This window comes from Homo sapiens, chromosome 9, assembly GCF_000001405.40.
Source record: "Homo sapiens chromosome 9, GRCh38.p14 Primary Assembly".
NCBI lineage: Eukaryota > Metazoa > Chordata > Mammalia > Primates > Hominidae > Homo > Homo sapiens.
Genome location: NC_000009.12, coordinates 73,088,483 through 73,114,787, shown reverse-complemented (window position 1 = coordinate 73,114,787; position 26,305 = coordinate 73,088,483). Strand labels below are relative to the sequence as shown.

Below are 26,305 nucleotides of genomic sequence, written 5' to 3'. Positions count from 1 at the left end.
CCACTCTCTTCTTTAAGCTAAAATTATTTCACAAAACAGTATTGATAAAAGCAATTTGGCATATATTTGTACCACTAAAACTCAGGCTTTTTGATTCTCAAAAGAGACTGCCCCTTGGGTAGAAAGAGAGGGGAAAGTTGTATCATCAAATACTTTATTGGCAACATATGTAGTAGCCAGTGTATTTTATAATTCCAAGATACTTAACATCGAAAATAGACGTTCTATATGCACAGATTGAGCTTCATTTGGGTCATGACTGAAACCTTTTATATTTCAACCTGGATGATAGAGATGTAAAAACTTGAGAGGTTTCCAACAAAACAGAGTAAAGTCAACATAACCTATGCTGTCTACTAACTAAATGCACCTTCAGGCATGTTTAAAATAAGGCAATGCAGTATTGCCTTTTTTCTATGCACTGTTCTGGCAGAGTTTCTCCAATCTGCACCTGTTCAATAATGAACAGCATTCATCTGAGAGATTAAAATTCTGGGCCATAGTGAGGAAGTAGTAATTAAAGCAGTATTTTTATCTTCCTTACTCTGTGGGACTTCTTACCACAGAGTTCTTCCTTCAGTTTAATGTTGGTTTGAGGTTACACCTTGATCTCTTCAAAATACATTCCCATGAATGTTTTTCACCCAAGTTTACCTATCCCTTTTGAAGTTGCAGAGCTGGGAGTGCCCTGGATGAATAGATTTGGCATCAACAGAAAACTTAGTTTTTTCAGTTGGCTCATTAGATACAAAGAAAATAATACCACTGTGGACAAAGGTATTTTATTATATAACATGCAAATGTTTTTATTAACTGGTAGAACAAGTTTGATAAAAGGCAACCCATACCAAGATAAATAACATACAAATAGTCTATTCCACTAACTAATTACAGAACATTGAAGAATGTGTTTCAGGCAAGCCATGGTGGATTATACTTGTGATCCCAACATTTTGGGAGGCCAAGGCAAGAAGATTGCTTGAGGTCAGGAGGAGTTCAAGACCAGCCTGGGGAATATAGGGAGACCCCTGCCTCTACAAAAAAAAATACAAAAAAAAAATTAGCTGGGCATGGTGGCTCGCCATTGTCCCAGCTACTCAGGAGGCTAAGGCAGGAAGATCACTTGAGCCCAGGAACATGAAGCTGCAGTGAGCTGCGATTGTACCATTGTGCTTCAGCCTGGGCAACAGAGTAAGACTTGTCTCTAAAAAAATTTTAAAAAAGAATGTGTTTCTATTTGCTTATCATAACAATAAGTATTCAAAAAATAGTTTTTGTGCTATATTGATAAAACCTGGAGGTGGTAGGAATTGATGTTATGTAAAAGTGTTAAGAATAAGAATAAATCTGATACAAAGAGGTATGTTTATATCTGTTATATTAAGCAAACAAAATAAACTTTTTTTCCATAATGATGAGGAGGATAATAATTGTAGCTACTTTGTATTGGGTGGCTTAATAAATATCTGGTGATATATTAATTTTACATCAGCCCATTAAGTCACAAACCCCCTAAGCGGTAGGTATTACCTTCAACAATTTACAAATGAAGAAAATGTGTCCTGAGAGGGGTAATCATTTGATTAAAATCAAACTGATTGAATGGTGTAGCACTAGGAAAGGATATCAGGTTTTAATACTTCAAAGCCTTTGTATTTAACCATTATTTTTTCTTCTCAACCTTTTGAATGTATCCTAAGAGAATAGTGAAAAAGCATGAAAAATTAATTATATGTATCTCCTTATTGAAGCATTATATATAACAGAAAAAACTTTGAGGTCATTAAAATGTATAAAGAATGTATTAAGAAGTAAATATGCTTATGAGAGGATGGCAAATGGAAAAAAAGCTCAATATACAAAATATATCTGATCCAGAGCAATAAGAAACAATATAAGCAATAGGCAGTATTTGAAGAGACAATGAGCAATAATTCTCCAAAACTCTTCCATGGATTAGAAGAAGAAGCAATACATTCCAACTCATTTTATGAGGCCAGTATAACCTTGATATAAAAACCTGACAAGAAAGATTGCATGGAAGGAATATACAATAGCTTCTCTTTATCTGTAGGGGATATGTTTCAAGATGCCCATGGATATCTGAATCCAAGGATATAACTAAACTCTATTGCCATCAATAGGACATGTTTCTACGCATGTCTTCCACCCACAAATTAAATGCGTTTTCTATCTCAACTAAGTACTTACACACCGTAGCTGCAACTTTTGCAGTTTGAGGTGTGGCAACAAAACTAGCACAAATTTCTTTTTTCCTTTTTTGAGATTTCCAGGATAGAAGATTCATTCTTACCATAGATCTTAGCAACCTCAGCCTGCAATTTTCCTTTCCTTAAGTCAAGAACTAATGGCTGGGCGTGCCTGCAGCTCTGCAGTATGGATACTCTGGACTAGGGAACGGGCAAGACAGAGGGTGCAGGACAGCTCAAGATTTCATCACGCTACTCAGAACAGCATGCAACTTAAATCATGAATTGTTTACTTCCGGATTTTTCCATTTAATATTTTTGGACCACAGTTGATTACAGGTAACTGAAACCGTGAAAGCAAAACTACAGATGAGGGGGGAATACTGTAGAGCAATCTCATTCCTGAACACATCCTTTATCAAATGTAGGTATTATTTATTTGAGCAATAGCTGATAGAAATCCTGATGAAGATGAAGCAAAAAAGCTAAAATAGAAAATGTTAATGTAATTTAGCTATGTAAATGTTCATTATACATATAACACACTATATATATGTAACTTCATATATATATATATATTTCTCTTCACAAAACATGCTTCTCAGAAAACCAAGAAATATAATACTATTCTTATGTTTATTTTATTCTGCCTTTATGTCAACAATGGCCAGTGAAAACAACTTGGGAGTAGTAATGAAGATGACCAGAGGCCAGCGAGCTGAAAGTGTTTCCAGCAAAGCAGCCCTCTGATCCATATACTTTAGCTACAACTTACATCACCAAGGTAAATATGCTCTCCATGAAAGAAATGGGTCCAGCAAATGTATTTTGTTTTAATTTTTTCTGATTTGTGTAGAAACAAATGCACAAAAATACATTCATATCTTTTAGGAATATAGGCAGTTTTTGAACATTTACCTATTGAATTAAGTGACATCTATCTTAGAAATAATATAAAATTCATCCCAGAAATCTGTGAAAATACTATAAACAAGAGTATGTCCTTGCAAGCATTTGGTAAATATGAAAAAACAAGCTCAATAACAAAGATATATCATAGTGTTGTTTTGAGGGATGCAGTCCACATTCATGGTATTCCAAATATTCCTATAATACCAGTTGAGTGACACTTGGATAAAAGATAGACAACTTTTTTTCAACCTAGTAACCGTCCCCAAAAGTGAAGAATATATTTATTCCACAAGAGATTTTGAATATATTCTGAATTAATGTTACCTCTTTAGAATTTTTTAATTTTAGAATTGACAGGCAAGAATGCATCTGAAAATCATTGAATAATGAATGGGGTTGGAATATTTTCCATTTTGACTACTTATTCATATTTTTCATATATACTTAGTATATGTTAGGCACTGCACTAAATGTAAAAACAGTATGAAAGGAGACAAAGAGAATTGGGTTTAGAGGTGTAAATAAATGAGTTTCTGTAACTAGATATTTGTTACTAAAATTGAAAAGCAAAAATCTTGAAATAGACAATATTTTTGATCAGTTGGAATTTTGAGGAGGCTACAGTTACAGGATATTGATATGACGAAATAATTGAAGCAGGAATTGTAGTTCTGTTCATGGATGTAGTGCTTGAATCTAGAATACCACCCGTCATATAACACAGGCTCAGAGAACAAATGCTGAATGAATATATGAGCTGCTCAGGATTTTACAAAGATCTAAATATTTGAGTCTGTTTAGATAATAACAGAAGGTACCAAATACAGCTCTTATTTTGTCAGGCCAACTTTTAGGTGTCTTATTCATATTAATTTACTTATGCTTATCAGTCCTATGAAATTGGTGCTGTTTTTATTCCCATTTCATAGGTGAGCATACAGAGACTTTAAGCAACCTGCCCAAGGTCCCACAGTTAGTAAATGTTGGAAATGGAATTTGAACCCAAGCCATATGGCTCTGGATTCTGTACTATTAGACAATGTGCTACACTGTCTATGTGGATCTTAGGAATTTTAAGAACTACCGAAATCAAACTTCACCTGGGGACTCAAAGCATTGTGGACTGAAAGTGTTAAGTTTTCATTCTTTCAATTCCCAGTCTCTCATTCTGTATTAAACCACCAATCAAAGAAGAAGTCAACAATCCAGCCGTGGGGGGATGGGGGTAGAGATTAAGTATTTTTGCTATTTTAAACAAACAATAATATTAATATAATATTCAACTATCCTTAAGAAACTGGTCATACAACCTGTTTGTAAGATACATCAGGTTAAGCAAGAATTGTTGAACAAAATCAAAATAGTATTAATTTTGAAATTACTTGCTAAAGCTAGACTGAGAATTCACCTATTATAAACAAATCAAAGTGTAAGAGCTGTCAATGTAGATAATAGAAACTTTTAAGATAAGTTTGCTATAAAGTAATGAGTCTTTGGCAATTACATAGATACACACACGTACGTAAACTTATGAAGAATGACCCCATTTAAACAAGACTTAAGCTTCTGCTTCATGTTTCTTATTAAAATGTATTTTCTTATTAAAACGTATTTTGTATGCAATTTTCAAGAATTAAATGAAATTATTCAGTAGGCCAGGCGCGGTGGCTCATGCCTGTAATCCCAGCACTTTGGGAGGTTGAGGCGGGTGGATCACGAGGTCAGGAGAGATCAAGACCATCCTGGCTAACATGGTGAAACCCCGTCTCTACTTAAAAAAATACAAAAAATTAGCCGGGCATGGTGGCGGGTACCTGTAGTCACAGCTACGTGGGAGGCTGAAGAAGGAGAATGGCGTGAACCCAGGAGGCGGGGCTTGCAGTGAGCCAATATCGCGCCACTGCACTCCAGCCTGGGCGACAGAGCCAGACTACGCCTCAAAATAAATAAATAAATAAATAAATAAATAAATAAATAAATAAATAAATAAAATTATTCAGTAACTCACCTTCTGTTTTGAAAACATACTGACAAATACGATCCAACTTAGCTTTCGAATAACACTTATGAATAGCCATCTTGATTAGTAAAAGGTTTGGATTTAAGACTTCTTTCCTTATTACTTGAAATGCAAACATGAGGCATTACAATTGTGTTAGTCATTGTAGTAAATGTAGAATCAATATCATTAACAAAGCCACTGTGGTGATATATGGACAGGTTGTGTTTATTGTTCCCTAGTCAGGTTCTTAATGAACCAACCTCTTAGTCTCTGTGGGTTTCTCAATATTCCAGAGAAGTGACAAAGCCACTGGCCACCTCAGGTTTCCAGAATATTCTGCTGTAAGGCAGGCCAAACCAGATCAGAGCAGAACAATAAGCTCTTCTTAGACTTCCTAACATAATGATAATAAATTATTTGAATAACATCAGCGCCTTTAGCATACAGTGATTGCTATGAGATCGAGTAAGATTTTGTTCTCAAATGCTCACCATGGGAATGAGGAAAAGAAATGACCTCATATTTGGCATGTGCTAGAGATTTGGTAAACAGCTGATCAGAAGAGTAATTTAGAAGAAGAGATAATCATATGGGAATTAGAGTCAAATGATCAAAGTTCAAATGTCAAATTAATCACTGAGTAGTATGATCCTTACAAAGTCACCTATTTTCTCGTGTGTGTGTGTGTGTGTGTGTGTGTGTGTGTGTGTGTGACGGAGTCTCGCTCTGTCGCCCAGGCTGGAGTGCAGTGGTGCCATATCGGCTCACTGCAAGCTCCGCCTCCCGGGTTCACGCCATTCTCTTGCGTCAGCCTCCCGAGTAGCTGGGACTACAGGCGCCAGCCACCACGCCTGGCTAATTTTTTGTATTTTTAGTAGAGACGGGGTTTCACCGTGTTAGCCAGGATGGTCTCGATCTCCTGACCTTGTGATCCGTCCTCCTCGGCCTCCCAAAGTGCTGGGATTACAGGCATGAGCCACCGCACCCGGCCAAAGTCACCTATTTTCTCTAAGTAGTTATTTCCTCATCTGCTAATTGGATTTATAAGACCAATTGTGAAGATAATTTTTTAGAATTATACAAGATAATGTCTAATAAATGTTTAATACAGAACCTATATGTAGTAGATGAAAATTTTGGAGGTGAACCCTGAAAACATTGTGTTACATCTTCAAAAGTTTTTTTATATAGTCATATGAGCATTTCATCTTCTACTTTTTTTCTGGTTTACTCGTATTTTGCAAATGACAAGACATGCATCAAATGCAACATAAACACAAATAACCAAGCAGATGGAGTTTATGAGAAAAGAGAAGGTGAACGGTGATAAACATTTTCTACCATTATTAATGCTATAGTACTTAAGTGTTAATAATTTACCATTGACCCAACTTATTATCTAGCATTATAAAAAGTTTTATGTTAAAAAGTTATAATATGTGTCACAATAGGTCTTATGTTATACTTTATTAGGTTTTCATTTGTTTGATTGACGTACTGACGTATTTGACAATCAAAATCTATAGTTTGGGGGCCAGGCGCCGTGGCTCACACCTGTAATCCCAGCGCTTTGGGAGGCTGAGACGGTCGGATCACCTGAGGTCAGGAGTTCAAGACCAGCTTGGCCAACATGGTGAAGCCCCATCTCTACTAAAAATACAAAAAATTAGCTGGGCGTGGTGGCCGGTGCCTGTAATCCTAGCTGCTCAGGAGGCTGAGGCAGGAGAATCGTTTGAACCTGGGAGGCAGAGGTTGCAGTGAGCTGAGATCACTCCAGCCTGGGCAACAAGAGCGAAACTCCATCTCAAAAAATAATAATAATAATAATAAAATAAAAAATAAAGAAAACACAACGTATAGTTTGTATTTAGGTAAAAGCTACCATTGAGGTATGGATCCTCACAGAAAATGAGTTTGCACCTAGAGTCATGCTGTAGTTAGCAGGTGACAGCTCCCTCTCCTGGCCAAGAGCATAGATGAAACCCTGTGTATCTGACCATACTCCTAAAATCTTTCAGAGCTTATCTTGTGGATCTGCAGGTGAGAAAACATCTAGGCACAGAACACACATATGCATATACATGAGTTTATGCACACACAGAAACATACTATCCACATTTTCATTCCTGTCCCACATACATAGGCTTGACAAATGCTGAGGATATGAAAGACAAGATGATACATTTGAAAGGTACCCTCTCCTTGTGAATAGAAGTGCAATCCAGGGAGACATTAAATACAGAAATCTGCATTCAAGGCTCCAAGACTATATTTTTACTTTATCAAGGCATGAGGTTTTCAGGAATAAATAATATCTACATTAAATTTAAGTGCAACTGATTTTTTTCATAGACTTATTTGTTTCTGTCAGATTATTCTTAATTTCTTGAGTTATTAAACTAATATTTATTAGATCATACTCTGAGTCAAGTAGTATGCTAAATGCTAGGAATACAGCAATGAACCAATCAAGTGAAATCCCTGCCTCTGTAACAGTAGAATTCTAGGCGGGGGAGATAAATGTTCACATTAATTTGTACTTCGTCTCTGAAGTTTTCAACTTGCAAAACATGCACAATAATTAACAGTGAGTTTTAATCATTACTCCAGTGAAGTTTAGAAATGTGAGTTTTGATTCTCTCACTGTTACTTAGAATAAAAATAGTTGGCCTATTCCTTAGTAAATTTGTGACTATTTCTGGCTTCTTACTGATGTTTGTAAATAAGTCAAAAATGCTAATAGGTAGAAATATGAAAATCAGATATTGCATTATGAAAAATGTGAAGATCAGTGGTACTATGGCATAGAAGTCAGTGAAAGATACATCTATGTGAAAGAACTTACTGCCATTTTTTTAAGAACTTGATCCTTTTCCAGTCACTCCAAATATGAACCGTTTCTATCACTAAATTTATCATTCTCATTTACAGGGAATTATGGAGAAGTACTAAATAAAGCCCGATTTGAAAAATTCCCATAAGCTTTGAATGAGCAGGAAAAATTCTCAAAACAAAGAAAAATCTCTCTGTAGAGATCTTGCACAGGCCCTGGTGTTGTGTTTAAGGTTACCTTCTGTTAAAGCTCTGTTTTTAAGCTACTCAGATTAGATTTTTGAAGCCATAAGGTAACTTTTCCAAGGCAGATTTGTGAGCTTTTATTTATTAAGTCAAGAACTGTCCATAGAACACCATTGTTATCATTTAGTTTGAGGTGATTGTTTATTAACATCAGGCTGAAAAGTGACTTAGCACCCATGAGATCCAGGGTTACCAGCTGTTCTTGTTCACAGATACTGCACACTAAAAAACAGGTGTCCTTGACAGTTACTGTCTTTTTCTAGTATACGGGGCTTGTTGAGGTTTCATCCTACATAATGTCCCTCAGTTATAAGGGGCAGAGATTTATGGTTAGATAATATGGTTGCAAGGATGCTCTAAGCCTTTCTTCTCTCTATAGAATGATTCTGACCAGAAAATAAAGATACTCAAGAGAATGTGTGAGGCATATTATGACTTAGTAGTATAGAAGAAGAAAAACTAGCAAAGCACACTGAAGGTAATTTTAAAATGTAAACTGTCTTATATTAAGTTGGTGCAAAAGTAATTGTGGTTTTGCCATTGAAATTTATTACGTGGCCGGGTGCAGTGGCTCATGCCTATAATCCCAGCACTTTGGGAGACTGAGGTGGGTTGATCACCTGAGGTCAGGAGTTTGAGACCAGCCTGGCCAACATGGCAAAGCCCCATCTCTACTAAAAATACAAAAATTAGCTGGGTGTGGAGGCGTGTGCCTGTAATCCCAGCTACCTGGGAGGCTGAGGCAGGAGAATTGCTTGAACCTGGGAGGAAGAGGTTGTAGTCAGCCGAGATTGTGCCATTGCACTCCAGCCTGGGCAACAAGAGTGAAACTCCATCTCAAAACAAAACAAAAAAACACTAATTATTTTGCACCCAACCTACCAGAAAGGTAATTATATACAAAATACTAAATAGAACCTCAGAGATAATTATAACCAGTACTAGAAAATAAACAACTCTCTTTTCATACTAAACTTTATTATTGCTGTATTATCTATATATTTCTCCTCTTCCTTCTGATATTTTTATTCTCAGTGGTGTAAAGGAAATATTTCAAAACTTTTGCAGCAACTGTCTTTAAAGTTTCGACATATGTGAGAGATATCACATAGATGTTAAAGATGATCGTTTTGAACATATGTGATAGATAAATGCTGGTTGTCTCTCAGCCTTTGCAATTCTCATTCAGTGCTGATGAATAATGTTTAATATGAATGTCATGCATTATTCCAACTTTTTTTCTTGTATGCAGAAAAAAATGTTCGAATCATGTATTTATATTTTAAAAAAGAGTCTGAAACAGGGAATTGTCTATAATTTATAAAATTGTGTACCTTTTAAGGTGTCAACATTGATATTTGGGCTACTGGAAAAAGAGACAAAGAACTTAGCCAGGACTCACTTATGAAACTTCACGCTCTGAGCCAGCCCCATGTTTAAGACATAGGAGCTATGCAAGAGAACCATGAGGGAAGAATTAGAAGGTTAGGCCTGGGGGAATTCGGCTCGACTATGTCTCCATAATCTTACCCCAGTCAGTATGAGAAATGATACTCCTTAATTATAATTTCAATTTAAAATACTTCTTGCACAATTACAAAATCAACCATTCACTTGACTAAACAGCAATGTTATTTTTCTCTGGAGTTGGTTTTCAAATTTTGGGGACGGAAAATTTGTATTTTTTTCATTGCAACTCTAACAAATTACCACACATTTAGTGGCTTAAAACAACACAAATGTATCATCTTAGAGTTCTGTGGGTAACAAATTCAAAATAACCATCACTAGGTTAAAATCTGGGTGTCAGCAGTATGGAATTCTTTTCTGGAGGCTGTCAGGAAGAATCCATCACCTTGCCTTTCCGGCCTCAAACACTGCCCAGATTTGCTGGTTGTGACCCTCTCCCTTTATCTTTGAAGCCAGCAGCATAGCAGGTCTCCAACATTGCCCCATTGTCACATCGCCCTTTCTGACTGCTTCTTCCAGTTTTAAGGTTTCTTGTGATTACCTTAGGCCTGCCCACATGATCCAGGCTAATCTCTGATTTAAGGTCAGCTGATTAGCAACCTTAATACTGTTTGCAACTTTAGTTCCCCTTTGCCGTGTAACCTGACATATTCACGTGTTCTGGGGAGTAGGACATAACTTAGAGAGGTGAATGGAGTTTTGAGCTGCAACTTGTTGCAGCTAATCAAATTAATCAAATTAATTGCCTACTAAATCACAAAAGAAATCAAAATTCACCAAAGATATATAACAACTCTAGGTATCAAAGACACAATAATCACACTGAACAGAATATGATGTAAAGAACCAGAAAAGTCAGTCTCAAGGGGAAATACAGTCAACAAAGACCAATCCTGAGATGAGCTGGATGTTGAAATTATCAGATAAGGATTTTTAAACAGCTGATATAACTATGCTTAAGGATTTCTTTCTTTTAACTGCTTATAATAAAAGAAAAGAGAAAAATCATACCCCAGAAACAGAATATATGAAAAATAACCAGGTAGAAATTATATAACTAAAAAACCCAATATCTAATTTTTTTAAATAGGCTTAATAGCAGAATGGAAATCATATAAAGAAGAGTTAGTAAAATTAATATGGATTAATATAAATTAGACAATTTTTAAAAAGAGAAAACATAATTTAAAAAGAAAGAACTGAGCCTCAGAAATCTTGTAAAAGTATATGAAAATTTCTAATATTTATAATCAGACTCTCAGAAGAAAAAGGCAGAGAGAAGTGGTAGGAAAAAATGTGAAGAAATAATGGATAAACTTCTCAAGTTTCGTGAAAGTCAGTGTTTCACAGGTTCAAGAAGGTTGGCACCACCTATCAGAAGAAATATGAAGAAAGTCACACCTAAGCTCATCCTCATCAGATGGTTGAAATCCAGAGATAAAGAGAAAATCATGAAAGTAAGCGGAACAAAGAACAACAATACATCACACAGAAGGGAACACAATTCAAGTTCATGGAAAATCTTTAAAAATATTTATAAATTGGAAAGGTGGGAAAATTAAGTACTGAAAGAAAAAATAATTGACAACCCAGAATTCCATGTCCAGCAAAAAATCCCTCATAAGTGAAGGCAAAATAGTACATGTTTCAGATATCAGAAAACTAAGAGAATGTATTGTCCTTGTACATGCACCAGGAGAGATGCTGAAAGAAAGTTCTGAGGATGAAGAAAAAGTAGGTAGTAGAGAAAAATTCATATATTAAGGAAGAAAGAAAAAATCATTATAAATGATAAATATCTGGGTAAATTTAAAATATTATTTTTTCTCTGAATTTAAAAAAAATACATGTGACTATATACATACAACATTTTCTTGTGGGATCTTAATGTGCAAAGAAGCACAAGAAACTTGGGGTTAATTAAAATAATTCATACATTGTGTGTGGTGGTGGTTTTATGGATATATTGGTCTATTAAAATTAGTTGAATTGTATACTTTAAAAGCTTGCAGTTTTGGGGGGCATGTAAATCATATATAATAAAGTAACTTAACAAAAGATCCTGAGAAGAAGGGGCATGACAAGTTACAAATGCAATAGATGGCCAGTAAATAGTAATAGTAGGTGTGACTCTCATATGCTTTGCTTCCTTATGTTTTTCCTTGTATAGTTCCAGGAACTCTAAATGTAGGGAACTATGTCATAATATATCACTGTGGGAAGATTAATCAGAAAAATAATTAGTCCTTCAAATATGAGTACCTTTTTATTGTTATGAGGTAAAATTTAATTTATCCATCTAAAAATTAGAGTATGGATATTACGTATTTACTAAGCCCAAATATTTTACAGTCATTCATTCTTGATTCTTCTTTTATTTGGAATTTTAAAAGTGTAAGTTTAATTGTCAAAAATATATCTTAAATCCATCCATCTCTACATCCCCTACTCTGACCTGAGTCACCAACATCTGTAGTTGCTGCCTGGTAAACTACAACCACTTCTGAATGGTCTCCCCGCTCCTGTCTTGGCACAACCAATTTATTCATCACTCAGCAGTCACAGAGATCTGCTTTAACTCTGCCTAAACCCCTCCAATGGCTTTCAATGGACTGCAAGTAAAACCCATACTCTTTATTATTTCCTACAAGGCACTAAGTTGCCTGATCCAGGCCCTGTCATACTGCCTGAGCCTCTCTCTTTTACTCACTGAGATCTTGTCACACTAGCTCATAAGTTGCAAGATATTATCAACGTATTTCTTCCATCAGGGCCTTTTAGCTTTCTGTTCTCTCATCTGAAGCATTCTCTCTCACACTCACCTTCTCATTTTCAGCATGGTCAACTTCTATTCATTCTTCAAGATTCACTTCAAAAGTTGTTCCCACTGAGAAAACTCCTCTAACCAACCTTACCTAATCAGATCTCCCCAGTAATGTATACGCACAGTACTCTATTTACATCTTTGCTAATATTTATTACAATCTTTCAATTTTTTAACATATGTGTTCAGTCATTTGCTTCTATCCTTTTTCACTAGAATATAAACTTTATCAGACACACTGAGTCTTTTGTTCATCACTGCATTTTTTATTCTAAACTAAGTGTTCATCGTGTAGTAAATATTCAATAAATATTGAATGAATGAGAGTGGAACGATGTATAAGCAAATTAATAAATACACATTGGATCAATGCTGTTTGTAAACTAAATTCTATAATTTTTTATTCATGAAATATTAACAATGCTTTTTTAATGAAAATTTCTTATAAGTTTCTTCCCGATTCTTCCTCTTATATCAGCTGCCCAAGAACTGAAAGAAATTATGGTGGAGCTGGAAAAAGTCCAGGAAAATTTAAAACTTGCACATAGCCATCCAAATGCAACAGTATCCCCAGGGAAGATGATGTCCTGGGATTTGGATGTAGAAACAGAACAAGAGAATAAAAACAAGCTTACAAATGTAATCTTTTCTCATGGCTTTAGAATAACTAAAATAACTCTTAATAACATTAATCTGGTTACCTTCAAGTAAATATCCTTCGGATATTTGAGTTTCTGATGCACAAGGCAGTCCATTAACAAACTGAAACGACCATGTTGATTGACATCCAGAAGGAATATATTTGAAGACATTTATTTCATAGATACCAAAATGCATATTTGCCATTTTCTTTTATGGGTCTTTTTTTTTTTTGACTCATGAAGATTTAAGAAGCACTTCACAATGTCATGTTGAGATATAGATTCTGACTTTTAGATAAAGCACATTTTCTAGATAAGTAACTCACTAGATTCATATTGTGCCTTAGCTTGAGAATATTCAAAACTATAGATGCTGTATCATTGAAAGAGGAGACTATTCCCTCTGACTTTTGTAGAAAATGGCCTGACATGTATATTGCAATTTAAAGTTTTATTGAATCAATGATTATAATTAAGATAAAACATGATCTTGAGTGGTAATAACCAGACCTAATTTTAGGGTGAACAGCAGAGGAATAATGTAGCAAATGAAATAAAACCATCATTAACTTCATAAAAACTTTGAGTAGTATTTTGAAAGCCCTCAGAACCTGAAATAATTTTACATATATATTTATATGTGTATATATATATGTGTTGTGTGTGTGTGCGTATGTATATATAATGTTTTCATGATACTTGTGGCTAGCCAAGATCTAGGGAAAGAATACAATGGAAAAGTATCTTAAAATGTGTGTGTGTATGTGTGTGTGTGTGAAGAAACAAGCATGTTACTTTGCAGATATGGTTCCCTAGCCATCCCTTTTCCATGCAGGCACTTATAAGTAAGTTATCTGCTATTTTGGATTCTTTGAATGGCTGATCCCCATTTCATACCATGTCATAGCAGGCATAACTGACCGTGGAAAGCAAAATCCAAATTAATAGACAACATGTGGCTATTCCTGTCCATATGTGACTCACTGTTTATTGCTCCTCTACTTGACACTCACTCCAGCTCCATGTCCAGGTACTCCACATTTGCTTTTACCTGTGAAAGAGCCAATCCTGAAGCAATGACACACGGAGTTGGCCCAATTCCATTCATGAGCTCTAATCACCTCCTTCTTTCTTACTGGATTTCTGCTTCCCACTTAGCTCCCGGAATGTTCTTTCCCTGAGTATGAGAAACTGCTCTTGCCTGAGTCACCTCTTTATCATGGGTTGAGTCAATACCTAACCACCTCTCCTACTCCATCCAGACCTGCATCCACACCTATGCACGCGCGCGCGCGCGCACACACACACACACACACACACTTTCTTAGGAGATTAGGATTCAGTTTCCTACAACCACACTTTTTACTCAGCAGCCTCTAGGTTAGAGTCAGACGCACAGTAGATGCACAAGACACACTCATTGGCTCAGCCATAATGCCCCCATTGGGCTCATAATCACAGGTTATTAATTACTTTTAAGGTAAGATAAAACGTTTTCCATATTTAACTTCACATGAGATATATTTTCCCTGAGTTTTCTTTTTTTCTTTTAGAAAAAAGTTGGTAAAAATATGTAAGAAGCATATATCTTAAACACATCTTGGGATTAAAAGTCAATAAATAACCCACTTTTTACAGAACAATGCATTTGACCTAAGGGGAAAAAAAACACACACAATTATTTTTACTCCCAGTTGAACTAGAGGAAATCAGAATGATGGAGCCGAGCAAGCCAGAGGCAGTAACCATTTTAATCAAGATTATCATTTTTAAATCTTGTTCTATTTTTTTCTTTTATTGGCACATAATATTTTACATGCTCATGGGGTACATGTGAGAATTTTTACGTGTATAGAATGTGTAATGATTGAGTCAGGGTAGTTGGGGTATCCATCACTTTGAGTATTTATTGTTTCTATGTGTTGGTAACATTTCCAGTCCTCTTTTCTAGCTACTTTGAAATGTTGCTATCCTTTGAGAGTCATGAAAAAGTGGGAGGACATTTCAGTTGCATTTTCTTCTTCATCAGTGCTTTTTCCCCTTCAATGATAAGTATTATAATTGATCTTAATTACTAGTATCTTGATTTTCAGTGGTGAAATGTAATCATTAGTTGTCGTTTACAAATTGTCATTAATGTTCTTGTTATAAATTTTTAAATTCACTTCAATGTAACAAATATTTACTATACTCTTACTATCATGACCTTCTCAGATTTACTTTCTTGCTTACAAGATTCCTGTCTGTAAACAGTGTCCTAGTTAGAACCTCAACTGTTCTGTTTCCAACACCTAATGTAGTGAATGAATGAGTAGATAGTATGAAGAATGTTCCCTATCTTGGCAACATAAGCTGAGTGTAAATACTTGTCTCTGATACAAGAGAAAACATAAAAAGAACTTTAAAAAAGGTAAAAGTATTGTGAAAGTAATCACATTATTTCTGATAGTATTTGTCCCACAAATGCATCTTAAAATGAATTAAATATTTCTCTGCTTTTAAACTCTAAAGCAGCTAATAAATTACCACAGATTCCACAGGAAATATTTCAAGATAACTTGCAAATTCATAAATCAGTAAGCTAGGTTTCTCAAAGCTTAAGTAATCCATGAAAATATTGAGAACACAGAACATTTGACTTTGCAAATCTTGAAAGAGAATTAATTTTATGACAAAATTAAAGTATGTAATTATAAATATGGATTTTAATTTAACTATTTTATCTTCTCTACCCCATATTCTAGTTCCACAGTTCTTTAGAACACTGATATTTCATAGCAGCATAGCAAATTAAACATGAGAACAGTTAGCTAAAAATCACTTGAACTCACTATAACAAAATATCAACTGTGGATTTTGACTTAAAGAAATATAAAAATATGACTCCCATTGACTGTAACATTAATTGTTGAAAATGTTATTAATGTAAAACTTATTATCAATCTAGGCAACTAAAACTTACAGTGATATAGTGATATTCCTCTAACATTTAGACCATTAATTAAAATAATTAATTTTGTGTTCTTTCTGGGAGAATAATTTTATTTCAGAAGGCAGATGAATGGTAGACATGGAACACATTTTGTTCTTATGACACTTTTGGAAAGTCAAGATCTAGGGAAAATATACAGTGAAAATGTTTCTTAAAATTATGATTGAAAATGCAAAATCTTCAAAGCCATCTTCAAAATCTGAAGTAATAGCTATTGCTATGGCTTAAATATTTGTGCCCTCCAAAACTCATGTTGGTATTTAACTGCCATTGTAATAGTGTTAAGAGGTGGAGCCTTGCAGAGGTGATTAGGCCTTGAGAGCTCAATCCTCATGGGCGAGTTTAAAGCCTTAATAAAATGGGTTTTGGTGAGTAAGCTCTCTTTCTTGCTCTTCTGTTTCCGGAACCTAGCCAGGTCCGGCTGCATTTTCTCAGGGCCCAATAAGGAGAAGCAGACAAACTAGGAAAGAAGGGAATTTACTGCTATAACCAGACTCAGGGAGTAGGTCAGCGATAATTCCACCAGACCAACTCGAAGTGTAACAATTTTCTTAGTGCTTATCTAGGCTGGGGTCATGTGCCAATGTGAAGCATTCACCGAAGTCTATTGTAACGAATTTTGTTTCAGCTAGAAGGTCAGAGGCAAAAAAGTGCTTGCTAAGTTTGATTAAGCTGTAAGGTTCCCAGTACCTTCAAGCCCTGTCTACTGTGGTACTGGAGTGATTATTTCTAGCCTATCTCCTTTACAGCTTGGTTCAGAGAGCTGCCTTAGACTCTCCAATAAATCTATTCAAACAGCTGCCTCCGTTACCTTGACTCATCTCAGATTTCATCAACCAGAGACGGGTCCTGGCACTAGGGATGTAAGGGTGTCTCTATCATTCTCCCTTGCTCCAGCAAGGGAAAAGCCCATGCAAACCTCCTACTGACCATATTTTTCATTTCTAGCTTTGATGTCTGGGCACGATTTCCTTAGGTTTAACTATCCGCTCAGTGTTAAGGCAGTGCTGTGGAAATCTGTCTATCTAACTGGGGTGCTAGGCAGGCCTGTCTGTGTGATTGTCAGGGAGAACTGGCCTGCCACACTTCCACCTTCGATCATGGCATTGTGGTAAAGTAAGAAGGCCCTTGCCAGGGGCCAACCCCTCAAGCTTGGACTTCACAGCCTCCAGAACTGTAAGAAAATAAATTTATGTTTAGTATAAATTACCCAGTCTCAGGTATTCTATTACAGTAGCACAAAACGGGCTAAGACAAAAAATTGGTGCCCAGATGTGGGGCTGTTGCCATAATCAATACCTAAAATGTAGAAGCGGCTTTGAACTGAGTAAAGGGTAAAGGCTGGAAGAATTTGGAGGAGCAGGCTAGAAAAAGCCTTGATTGATGTAAATAAAGAGTTAAGGGCAATTCTTGTGAGTGCTCAGAAAAAGATAACTGTAGAGAAAGGCGGAAACTTCTTAGAGATTATAGTTGCCCTTCCATGTCCATGAATCCCACATCTGTGGATTCAACAAAACATGGATAAAAAATATTTAGGAAAAAATTCACAATGTTCCAAAACACAAAATTTGAATTTGCAGTGTGCCAAGTACAATGTTGAATACTGTACTGTTGAAGTAATGTGTAAGCTTTGTATTAGGTAGTGTAAGTAATCTAGAGATGATTTAAAGTATACATATGAAAGGATGTGCATAGATTATATGCAAATACTATGACATTTTACATAAGGAACTTGAGCAGTCATGGATTTTGGTATCAATTGGGGGTCTTGGAACCAATTCCTTATAGATACTGAGGGACAACTCTACTTAAGTGATCGTGACCAGAGTGTTGATAGAAATATAGACAGTAAAGGTAATTCTGATGAGGTCTCAGATGGAAATGAGGAACAAGGTATTGGGAACTGGAGAAATGATATCCTTATTATAAAGTGGCAAAGAACTTGGCTGAATTATGTCCCTGTTTGAGTGGCAGAATTTATGAGCCATGTACTAGGATATCTGGCTGAAGAAATCTATCCGTAGCAAAGCACTGATGGAGCTGCATGATTTCTTCCAATAGCATATAGCAAAACTCAATAAGAGAGAAATTATTGAAAGATAGAATTCGTAATTAAAAAGGAAGCAGGCTGGGTGCAGTGGCTCATGGCTGTACTGCCAGCACTTTGGGAGGCTGAGGCAGAAGAATTGCTTGAGCCCATGAGTTCAACAGCAGCCTGGGCAACATGGCAAAATCCTGTCTCTACTCAAAAACAAAACAAAATGCAACAAAAATTATCCAGGTGTGATGGTGTACACCTGTGGTCCCAGCTACTCAGGAGGCTGAGATGGGAGAATTGCTTGAGCCCAGGTGGTCTAGGCTGCAGTAAGCCATATTCATGCCACTGCACTCAAGTGAGACCCTGTCTCAAATAAATAAATAAATAAATAAATAAATAAATAAATAAATGAAAAGGTATCAGATATAAAAAAAAATGGAGCATCCCCAGCCTGGCCATGTAAAGAATAAAAATATGTTTGGGAGAGAATACAAAGGGTATGTCCAAGCAACTCTTTGATGAGATTAGTATGAACAGAAGAAAGCATGGTGCTATATATCAAGATAATGGGAGAAAGATTCTGAAGTCATTTCAAAGATCTTTGAGGCTGTCCTTCCTATCTCAAGCTGAGTTCTAGAGTCTTGAGGTAGAATGGCTTCAGGGGACAGTCATGGGGGGCTGATGGGGCATCAGGCCTTGCTGCCTTGACCACTCCAGTTATGGCTCAAGTAGACCCAGATGTGGCTTCACCTGCTACTCCAGAATGTATAAGCTGTAAATCTTGGCAGCATCCACCTCGTGCTAATTTTCAGGTGCATAGTACAAGAGCTGTAGAAGCATGGCTGCCTCCAACTAGATTTTAAAGTACCTACTAAATAGACTGGAGGCCCAGACAAAAAACTGCAGCAGTAGTGGAGTCATTCCAAAGAGTCTCCACTGAGGCAGTGCCAAGTGGAGCCAGCTCCAAATCCCAGAACAATGGAGCTACCATAGCGGAGTGCAAAGCCAACCTGGGAAAGCTACAGGCATTCTACTCCAATATGCAAAAGCAGTTACGTGGGCTGTAGTCAGCAAAGCTACGGGAGTGGGGCTCCCCAGGACCTCAAAGGCTCAGTCTCTACCACAGTGTGTCGGGGAGGTGAGACACAGAGTCAAGAAAGGTTATTCTGGAGCCTTAACACTATCAAACAACATGTTTCATGTTGTTTGTCCTGTTTGGTTTTAGACTTACTTGGGATCTGTTTGTTACTTCTTCCTTCTTGCCTATGAGAATGTCTATCCTATGCCCATCCCACCGCTGTATTTTAGAAGCATATAACATATTTAATTTACAGGCTCACAGCTGAAGGGGATTTGCTTCAGGATAAATTATGCCTTGAGTCTCACGCATATCTCATTTAGATGAGACTCTGGACTTTGAACTTACGAGTTGGTGCTGGAACGAGTTAAGACTTTTAGGGATGAAATGAATCTATCTTGTATGTGAGAAGGACATGAGTTTTGGGGTGCCAAGCACAGAATGCTGTGGTTTGAATGTTTTTCCCCTCTAAAATTCATGTTGAGATTTGATTGCCATTGTAACAGTACTAAGGGGTGTGGCTTGTAAGAAGTCACTAGGCCATGAGGGTTCCAGCCCAATAGGTAGGTTTAATGCCTTAATGAAAGTGTTGTCAGGAGTTGGACTCTCTCTTTTGCCCCCTTGCCTTCTGCCATGGAATGATGAAGCAAGAAGGCTCTCTCCAGATGCCAGCCCCTCAATCTTGAACTTGTCAGCCTTCAGAACTATGAGAAAATAAATTTCTCTTCATTATAAAGTACCCACTCTCAGGTATTCTGTTATCGCAGCACAAAACAGACTAAAGCAGATGCTTACCCATCTATTCATTCCACAATTATTTATTAAGTTAATGTTGACTATTCCCTAGGGACATTTTAGTTAATAAAATGTTCATTTTGTTATTTACCTCATTTTGCTTATCGCTTATTTAGAGTACAGGTAGAAATTACCCTTTAAAAGCATGTATTGGGTTTTGTAAAGTAACTCTTAAAGGTTTTCTCCTTCCCTCAAATAAGCACTCAGTTACTTGAAAAAATTAAAAGACAACAGAAACAAACTGTTCAATTCAAAGTTTCAAACTATTTACCCCAACATTTCTGGAGCAGTTTAAAAATATACATATATTTTAAAACACGTGTCAGAATTTAAGTATTTGATATTTTTACATACTTAGCTTTTCATAAGTCCGTTGTATTGGTGCTTTTTATCATATGATAGGATAATACTGTTTGCTCTACTTCATAGATTAAAAGACAAAATCATTATTATCCAGAAATTAAAATTAAACTTGTATTCTTTTTCTCCAGGCTATTAGCCCAGTGGAGGAAAGGAAGAATATCCTGTTAGAACAACACATAGCAAGGTCCTTTGTCACACTGGAAGAAATGAAATAGGCCTTGCCCAAATAAGAAAGAGCTATTAAAGAGATCTTACAAAGTGAAAGTAAACCTAGGAGATTGAATGGTCCTCAAGAAACAATCCACTGCTGCAAATTTTAGTTAGCACAGAAAATATTGGTGACATTTTCCAAATGAAACTTCGGTGATTAAGGACACGAGAGGGAAGGTGTTTTATCCATTTTTTTTTTTTTTTAATTTCCTGGTCGAGTGTGCTGGGGCAAATGGCTCACCAAATCAGAATAAACCAAAACAGAGAACTGGTGAACTAGAAAGAGTGCTGCTGCTAACTCAGACCAGTGGTTTTCAAAACCTTTTTATAAATTAGAGGCTTCTTTCTCCTAAGAAAATCTTATCCCTAAAACCCCGAATATAAAACATATTGAAACAAAAATAATGATAAAAGACAGAGATGCTCTGTTGATGCTTAGATAAAGTAATTGGGGGTCTCAAAGGGACAAATGCTTGAAAATTCATTAGGAAACCAAGCCCTTTGGGGCTCACTTTGCAAGAAGCTCATGTGGTCCAATCCTCTTATTCTATTCAGGGAAAAGCAATGAGCTTATGTGACATCACCCACAGTCATACAGCTGGTGAGTGGTGACCTAGGGTTCCTCAACTGTGAACTAGGGTTCCTGAACTTTCCATCTCATGCATTTCCAGTTCCTCTGATTTCATCCTATCTCTCCAGAGTAGACAGGTATTGCAAGAAAACATTGAACTGATATGCAGACAGCCCACATTTGCCTTCACAAATTCAAATTCAATTTATAACAAGAAAACTAATCAAGAATAAATGTTTTTCTTATCTTTTATAGGAGGAAAGCATTGTTAATACAATAATGTATTTATTGGAAGGAATGATCCATAGCAAGGTCAAAGGCAAAATAATTGTAATACAGACTTTTTTCTGTGTTCTTCACCATCATCAAGACTGTAATTTATGCTTATGGTGCAGTTAATTAAAACATTGAGATAATCATAGGTTTGATTTTTGTGTTGGTTGCATTGCATGTTCCTCATTGACCTTTAATTAAAGGAGCTATTATCTTTCAGATACTAAAGACAAGAGAGTGTTGATGGATTGGTATCTTAAATATTGAAAGCCTGTTAAAAACAGATGCTGTAATTATGATGGCTATTATCAACTTTACATATAAAGTATTTATAGAATATCCTATTGTTACCATGAACAATAAATACTTAATAAACAGTTAAATGTCATGATTCTATTTCAATTTTTATGCATTTTTAGCCCTCTCTTTTCTTTATTTTTCTGTCAATACTTTTGAAGTTGGTCGAGTTAATGCCAAGTTAATGGTCAAGTTTATTCTCAAGTTTATAACTCTAATTACCTAAGTATAGGAGTAGTGAATTCTGGAGCCTGAATAATTTAAATGGTTGGGGCCTGGAAGACAGCCATAGACAAAATGGCACTTATTTAGAAAATGTCAATAATAGGCATATCTTAAAATAAAATTATTGAATTATTTATTAAAACAATATGTCTATATGTATTTGCAAAAATTATTGACTCTGTAATAAGGGAAAATGCAAGGAAGTTAAAGCACACAAGACAAACTTTTTACAGCTTACAAGAAAGAAAAATGAAATTTTAGAAAAGACATCCACTGTTTACAAAATGTAAATATTTTGCTACAAAAAGTCATGGAAATAAAAATTGTATTATAACAATGCAAAATTGAATCAGAAAAAACACAGCAGTTCCCTGAAGTTACATGGGATGAGTACAAAAAGCTTGTTGTTTCTATAGCACCAAGAGGTGTGTAAACCACGGTGGAGCATTAAACAAACAGTCTTAACTCACCTGTTTGGATTTATTTAACAATGTATAAGCCAGTGTTTAAGTGCTATGCAAATATAAAACATAATTAGTCAGTTTTATATGCATATTGAGTTGGGGAAGAATAAAAATGCATTCTGAAATCAGAATCTCCAGAATCATAGAATCTCCAGCCACAGTGAACTTTAAATGGCATCTAATCCAATGGCCCCTGATTCTCAGATCCTTCTCATAACTTCCCAGCCTATTGAGCAATTAACCTTTGTCCAAAAACCTCTAATGGTGGAATAGAACAGTTAAATAGTGGCAAGTGCAGAGTTTAAAGTTTCTGTCAATAAAATTATCTAATCTTCATTTTTTATCAGGTCCATATTATATACTGTGATATTCCAGCTGCACAGCGAAGAATCCGTCACCTGCTGACAAAAACAAATGATGCTGAGAGGTTTGGGCACAATAAAGTGGATAATTATACACAGGCACTTTTTCCCATGCAGCATTCTTTAAGGATGTGCCAGAGGATCTTGAAAGATCTTTGAAGAGCTATGAACTGATAGAAATACAATCTTGGATTTATTTTTTAATCATTTGCTAGTTAATAAAATTACTGCTTTCAATGTAGAATTACAGCTTTTAACTGATCCTACTTTATTGCAGATTTGCATAAAGAAGAAGACAATCTAATGTAATATCTGAAAGCAAAACAAAGAGAATAATAATAGTTTGAGGTCTGAATTATATTCCTCTGCCTTTTGATATGCATTGCCAAATTTCCTGTAAGATATCCTAATATATTTATATAGAATTTACAATTCTATATAAATATTTTAACTTTCTTAATGTTGTGATCTTACTTTTAAGAATCTGGCAACTTAAATTCATGACTACTTAAAGAATCACTTTATCCTTATACATCTAAAGACACGAAAGTCTTATTTCCTAAGGAATAATTGGACCAAAAATTTTTCAAGCCAGTTTACTTAAGTCATTATTTTCCCTGTAACTCAGAATACATTAACTCCAGTATCAAAATGTAACCATTATGATTCCTCATGTCTTCATGACTCTCTAAACTGTGTTGTTAATCATTTTGTGATAAATCTTTTCAGCAAGCCTATGATGACCAAAGTTCATTAGGATCATCAAGATGTGGAAAAAAATAACACTAGGTTACATTAAAAATGGAAAACATGCCAAATTAACTCTTGCAGATAACCCACTGTCGAAGATAGGTGAGATAAATAATTTAGGACATTCATTTTACATTTTCAAATTAATAATGTATATTCTGTGGCTTTCTATTTATATATAGATCCACATGGGCTACTATGAAAAATACATTTGTTAAAATACTTTATCAAATTATTTAAATAATAAAATTGACTTTGTCAAGTTTTGCTCATTTACAAGTATTTATTTTATGTTTCACTATATACCAGCTACTGTTTTTGTTAATCAGCTTTTTTGAGGTATATGTTACATTCACTAAAATAAACTCATTTTTAGTGTGTAGTTCAATGAATTTTGATAGGTGTATACACTTGTGTAACTACCAGCATAATCAAGATACAACACATTTCATCCCTCTAAAATACTTTTCACCCCCACCCTCTGCTCCAAGCAATCATTGATTTACATTGTTGTATGTTAGTCTATTCTATATTCTAGAATTTCACAGAAATAAAATTATTCGGGTGGTGTTATTTTATATATGGCCTTTTTAAATTTTTCTCTTGCCAAGTATAATATTTCTGAAATTAATCCATAGTTTCGCATTTCAGAAGCTCATTTCTCTCTATTGCTGAGTACTCCCATCCTATGAAGTTCTCTATTCATCTGTTTTTAAGATATTTTAACTGTTTCCAATTTTAAGGTATTACGAACAAGGTGTTATGAATATTTGTGAATACATCTTTGTATGAACATGTTTTTATTCTCTTGATAAATACTTAGATTGCTGAGTCATATAATAAACTTGTTTTTAACTTCCAGTCACGGCTTTAAGCTCCTAAAGTGCAGGTGTTTGTTTGTTTGTTTGTTTGTTTGTTTATTTTTAAGAAAAAGCCAATGTTTCAACTCTTATCCAACTTACATGCAAACTTAATTGAACTTACATAAAAAAATTATTCAATGCTTTATATATATATGTGTGTATGTGTTTGTATGTGTATATACATGTATATAAATACTCTCAGACATATGCTATCTCAGTAATAAAATACTGAGCCTAGGCTAGCTCAACATAGCTTTCGCTTTTTCTAATTGAATGAAATACAAGGTACATTAATTTTTTATTGCTCCATAATAAATTACCACAAATTTAATGGCTTAAAGCAACACATATTTAACATCTCAGTTTCTGTGAGTCTAGGTACAACTTAGCTTGGGTTTCTTCTCAGGATCTAATAAAGCTTAAGGTGTTTGCCAGCCTGCATACCTTTCTAGAGCTTGGGATGCCCTTCCAAGTTTATGTGGCTGTTGACAGAAATTAGTTCCTTGTGGTTGGAGGACGTCATTCTCCATTTTCTTGCTGGCTATCACCTAGGGACTGAGTTCAACTACTAGAGGGTGCTCACGGCTCCTTGCCACATGGCACTCACAGGACACAGCAGCTCACTTCCTAGAGATCAGTATGAGAATCTCTCTGACCCCAGGGTGGGCCCCAATCCCTCTCTTTAAATTACTCACCTGAGTAGGCCAAGCCTACCTAGGATAATCTCCCTTTTAATTAACTCAAAATCAACTGATTAGAGATGTTAATTTTATCTGGAAATGTCCTTTGCCATAAAATGTATCATAGTCATGCAAGTCACACCCTATCATATTTACTATCCTACCCATACCCAAGGAGAAGAAATCATACAGGGCATATACATCCAGGGCCGGGTATCCCAGGGATCATATTACAATCATGACTACCACACAAGGTAATATGTTGAACTTACTCAAGCTAGTTTACCCTGCTCTCTCCACTTTTTCTCTTAGTTTGAATGCTTACATTTCTGAGCTGAACAAAACAGAGTGGTAATTTTGCCACACAGGTGAAGGGCTTAAATTTCCATTGACCTAGAAGGATCATGCCACACTTGTCCTTATTCTGTTTTTAGGGTGTTCACTGTAATCATTTCAAACGACCACCTTAAGAAAAGGCTTTTGAAAATATATATATGAGTCATTTTATAGTTATAGTAATATTGTTTTATGACATTAGATTTATTTTGGGGGGTTGTTTCTTTTGGCTTGTCCTCTGTAAGTTATTGAAATGAGTTTAAATCCACTCTTGGTCATCTGCTACATTAATAATATTGTCCTCCTTTATGGCATATTTATTACACATATATCAAGAGACACAAGTCACTCTGGATGAACCAGAAGGCTACAAAAGAAATAGTAAGTAGCTAAAAGAAGACTGAAAAGATGAACCAATAAAGAAGTCTCTGTCTCTCTTTCTTTCTCAATACTAAATGTAAACCAAGTAAAACTCCTCTTAATTTGAAATGTGATGAGATGGTTTATTTCATAAACAAAATCCTTAATATCATCTGGTTTAACACATACATGAGATTCTGAAGCATGTCTAGTCAGTCCTCATCAGGTCCAAGAGATACAATTTATCCCAAGTAAATTCTGCACATTGGTGGAGATTTGGAATTGGCTTCCCTAATCTATCCAGCAAATCATAAATACTATGCTAGGCCTTAATGTTAGGTTTTTGGATCATACCAAGCACTTTGTTTGATCTCTCCATGTCTGCTTCTGCTCCTAGTTTGGGAATAAATTTCAGGTGTTATGTATGAAAAAGAAAAAGAGATAAGAACCTCCAAAATTATCTGGCACCAAGATACAGTTTCAGAAAAAAACAGTCAAGCCTTTTCAATCC

The 26,305-nt window shown here is 35.5% G+C and overlaps 1 long non-coding RNA gene across 3 annotated transcripts, besides 1 other annotated feature; it reads left to right on the top strand.

The window, feature by feature from the left end:
• Window positions 1–882: 882 nt before the first annotated feature.
• Window positions 883–24,416, top strand: LOC105376081 (uncharacterized). 3 transcript variants are annotated; one of them, XR_929927.2, is made up of 4 exons: window positions 1,153–1,191; window positions 2,359–2,549; window positions 2,882–2,994; window positions 22,791–24,416. It is a non-coding gene; the product is annotated as an uncharacterized LOC105376081 (long non-coding RNA). The 3 variants fall into 3 exon arrangements; XR_929926.2 differs by having other exon boundaries at window positions 1,162–1,191; window positions 2,287–2,549; XR_929928.2 differs by lacking the exons at window positions 1,153–1,191; window positions 2,359–2,549 and adding an exon at window positions 883–984.
• Window positions 19,609–19,809: a silencer, noted in NCBI's record as "peak7266 fragment used in MPRA reporter construct". NCBI's record gives its function as "represses an SCP1 promoter by STARR-seq MPRAs in K562 erythroleukemia cells {active_cell/tissue: K562}" and the evidence as "EXISTENCE:reporter gene assay evidence [ECO:0000049][PMID:32103011]".
• Window positions 24,417–26,305: the final 1,889 nt, after the last annotated feature.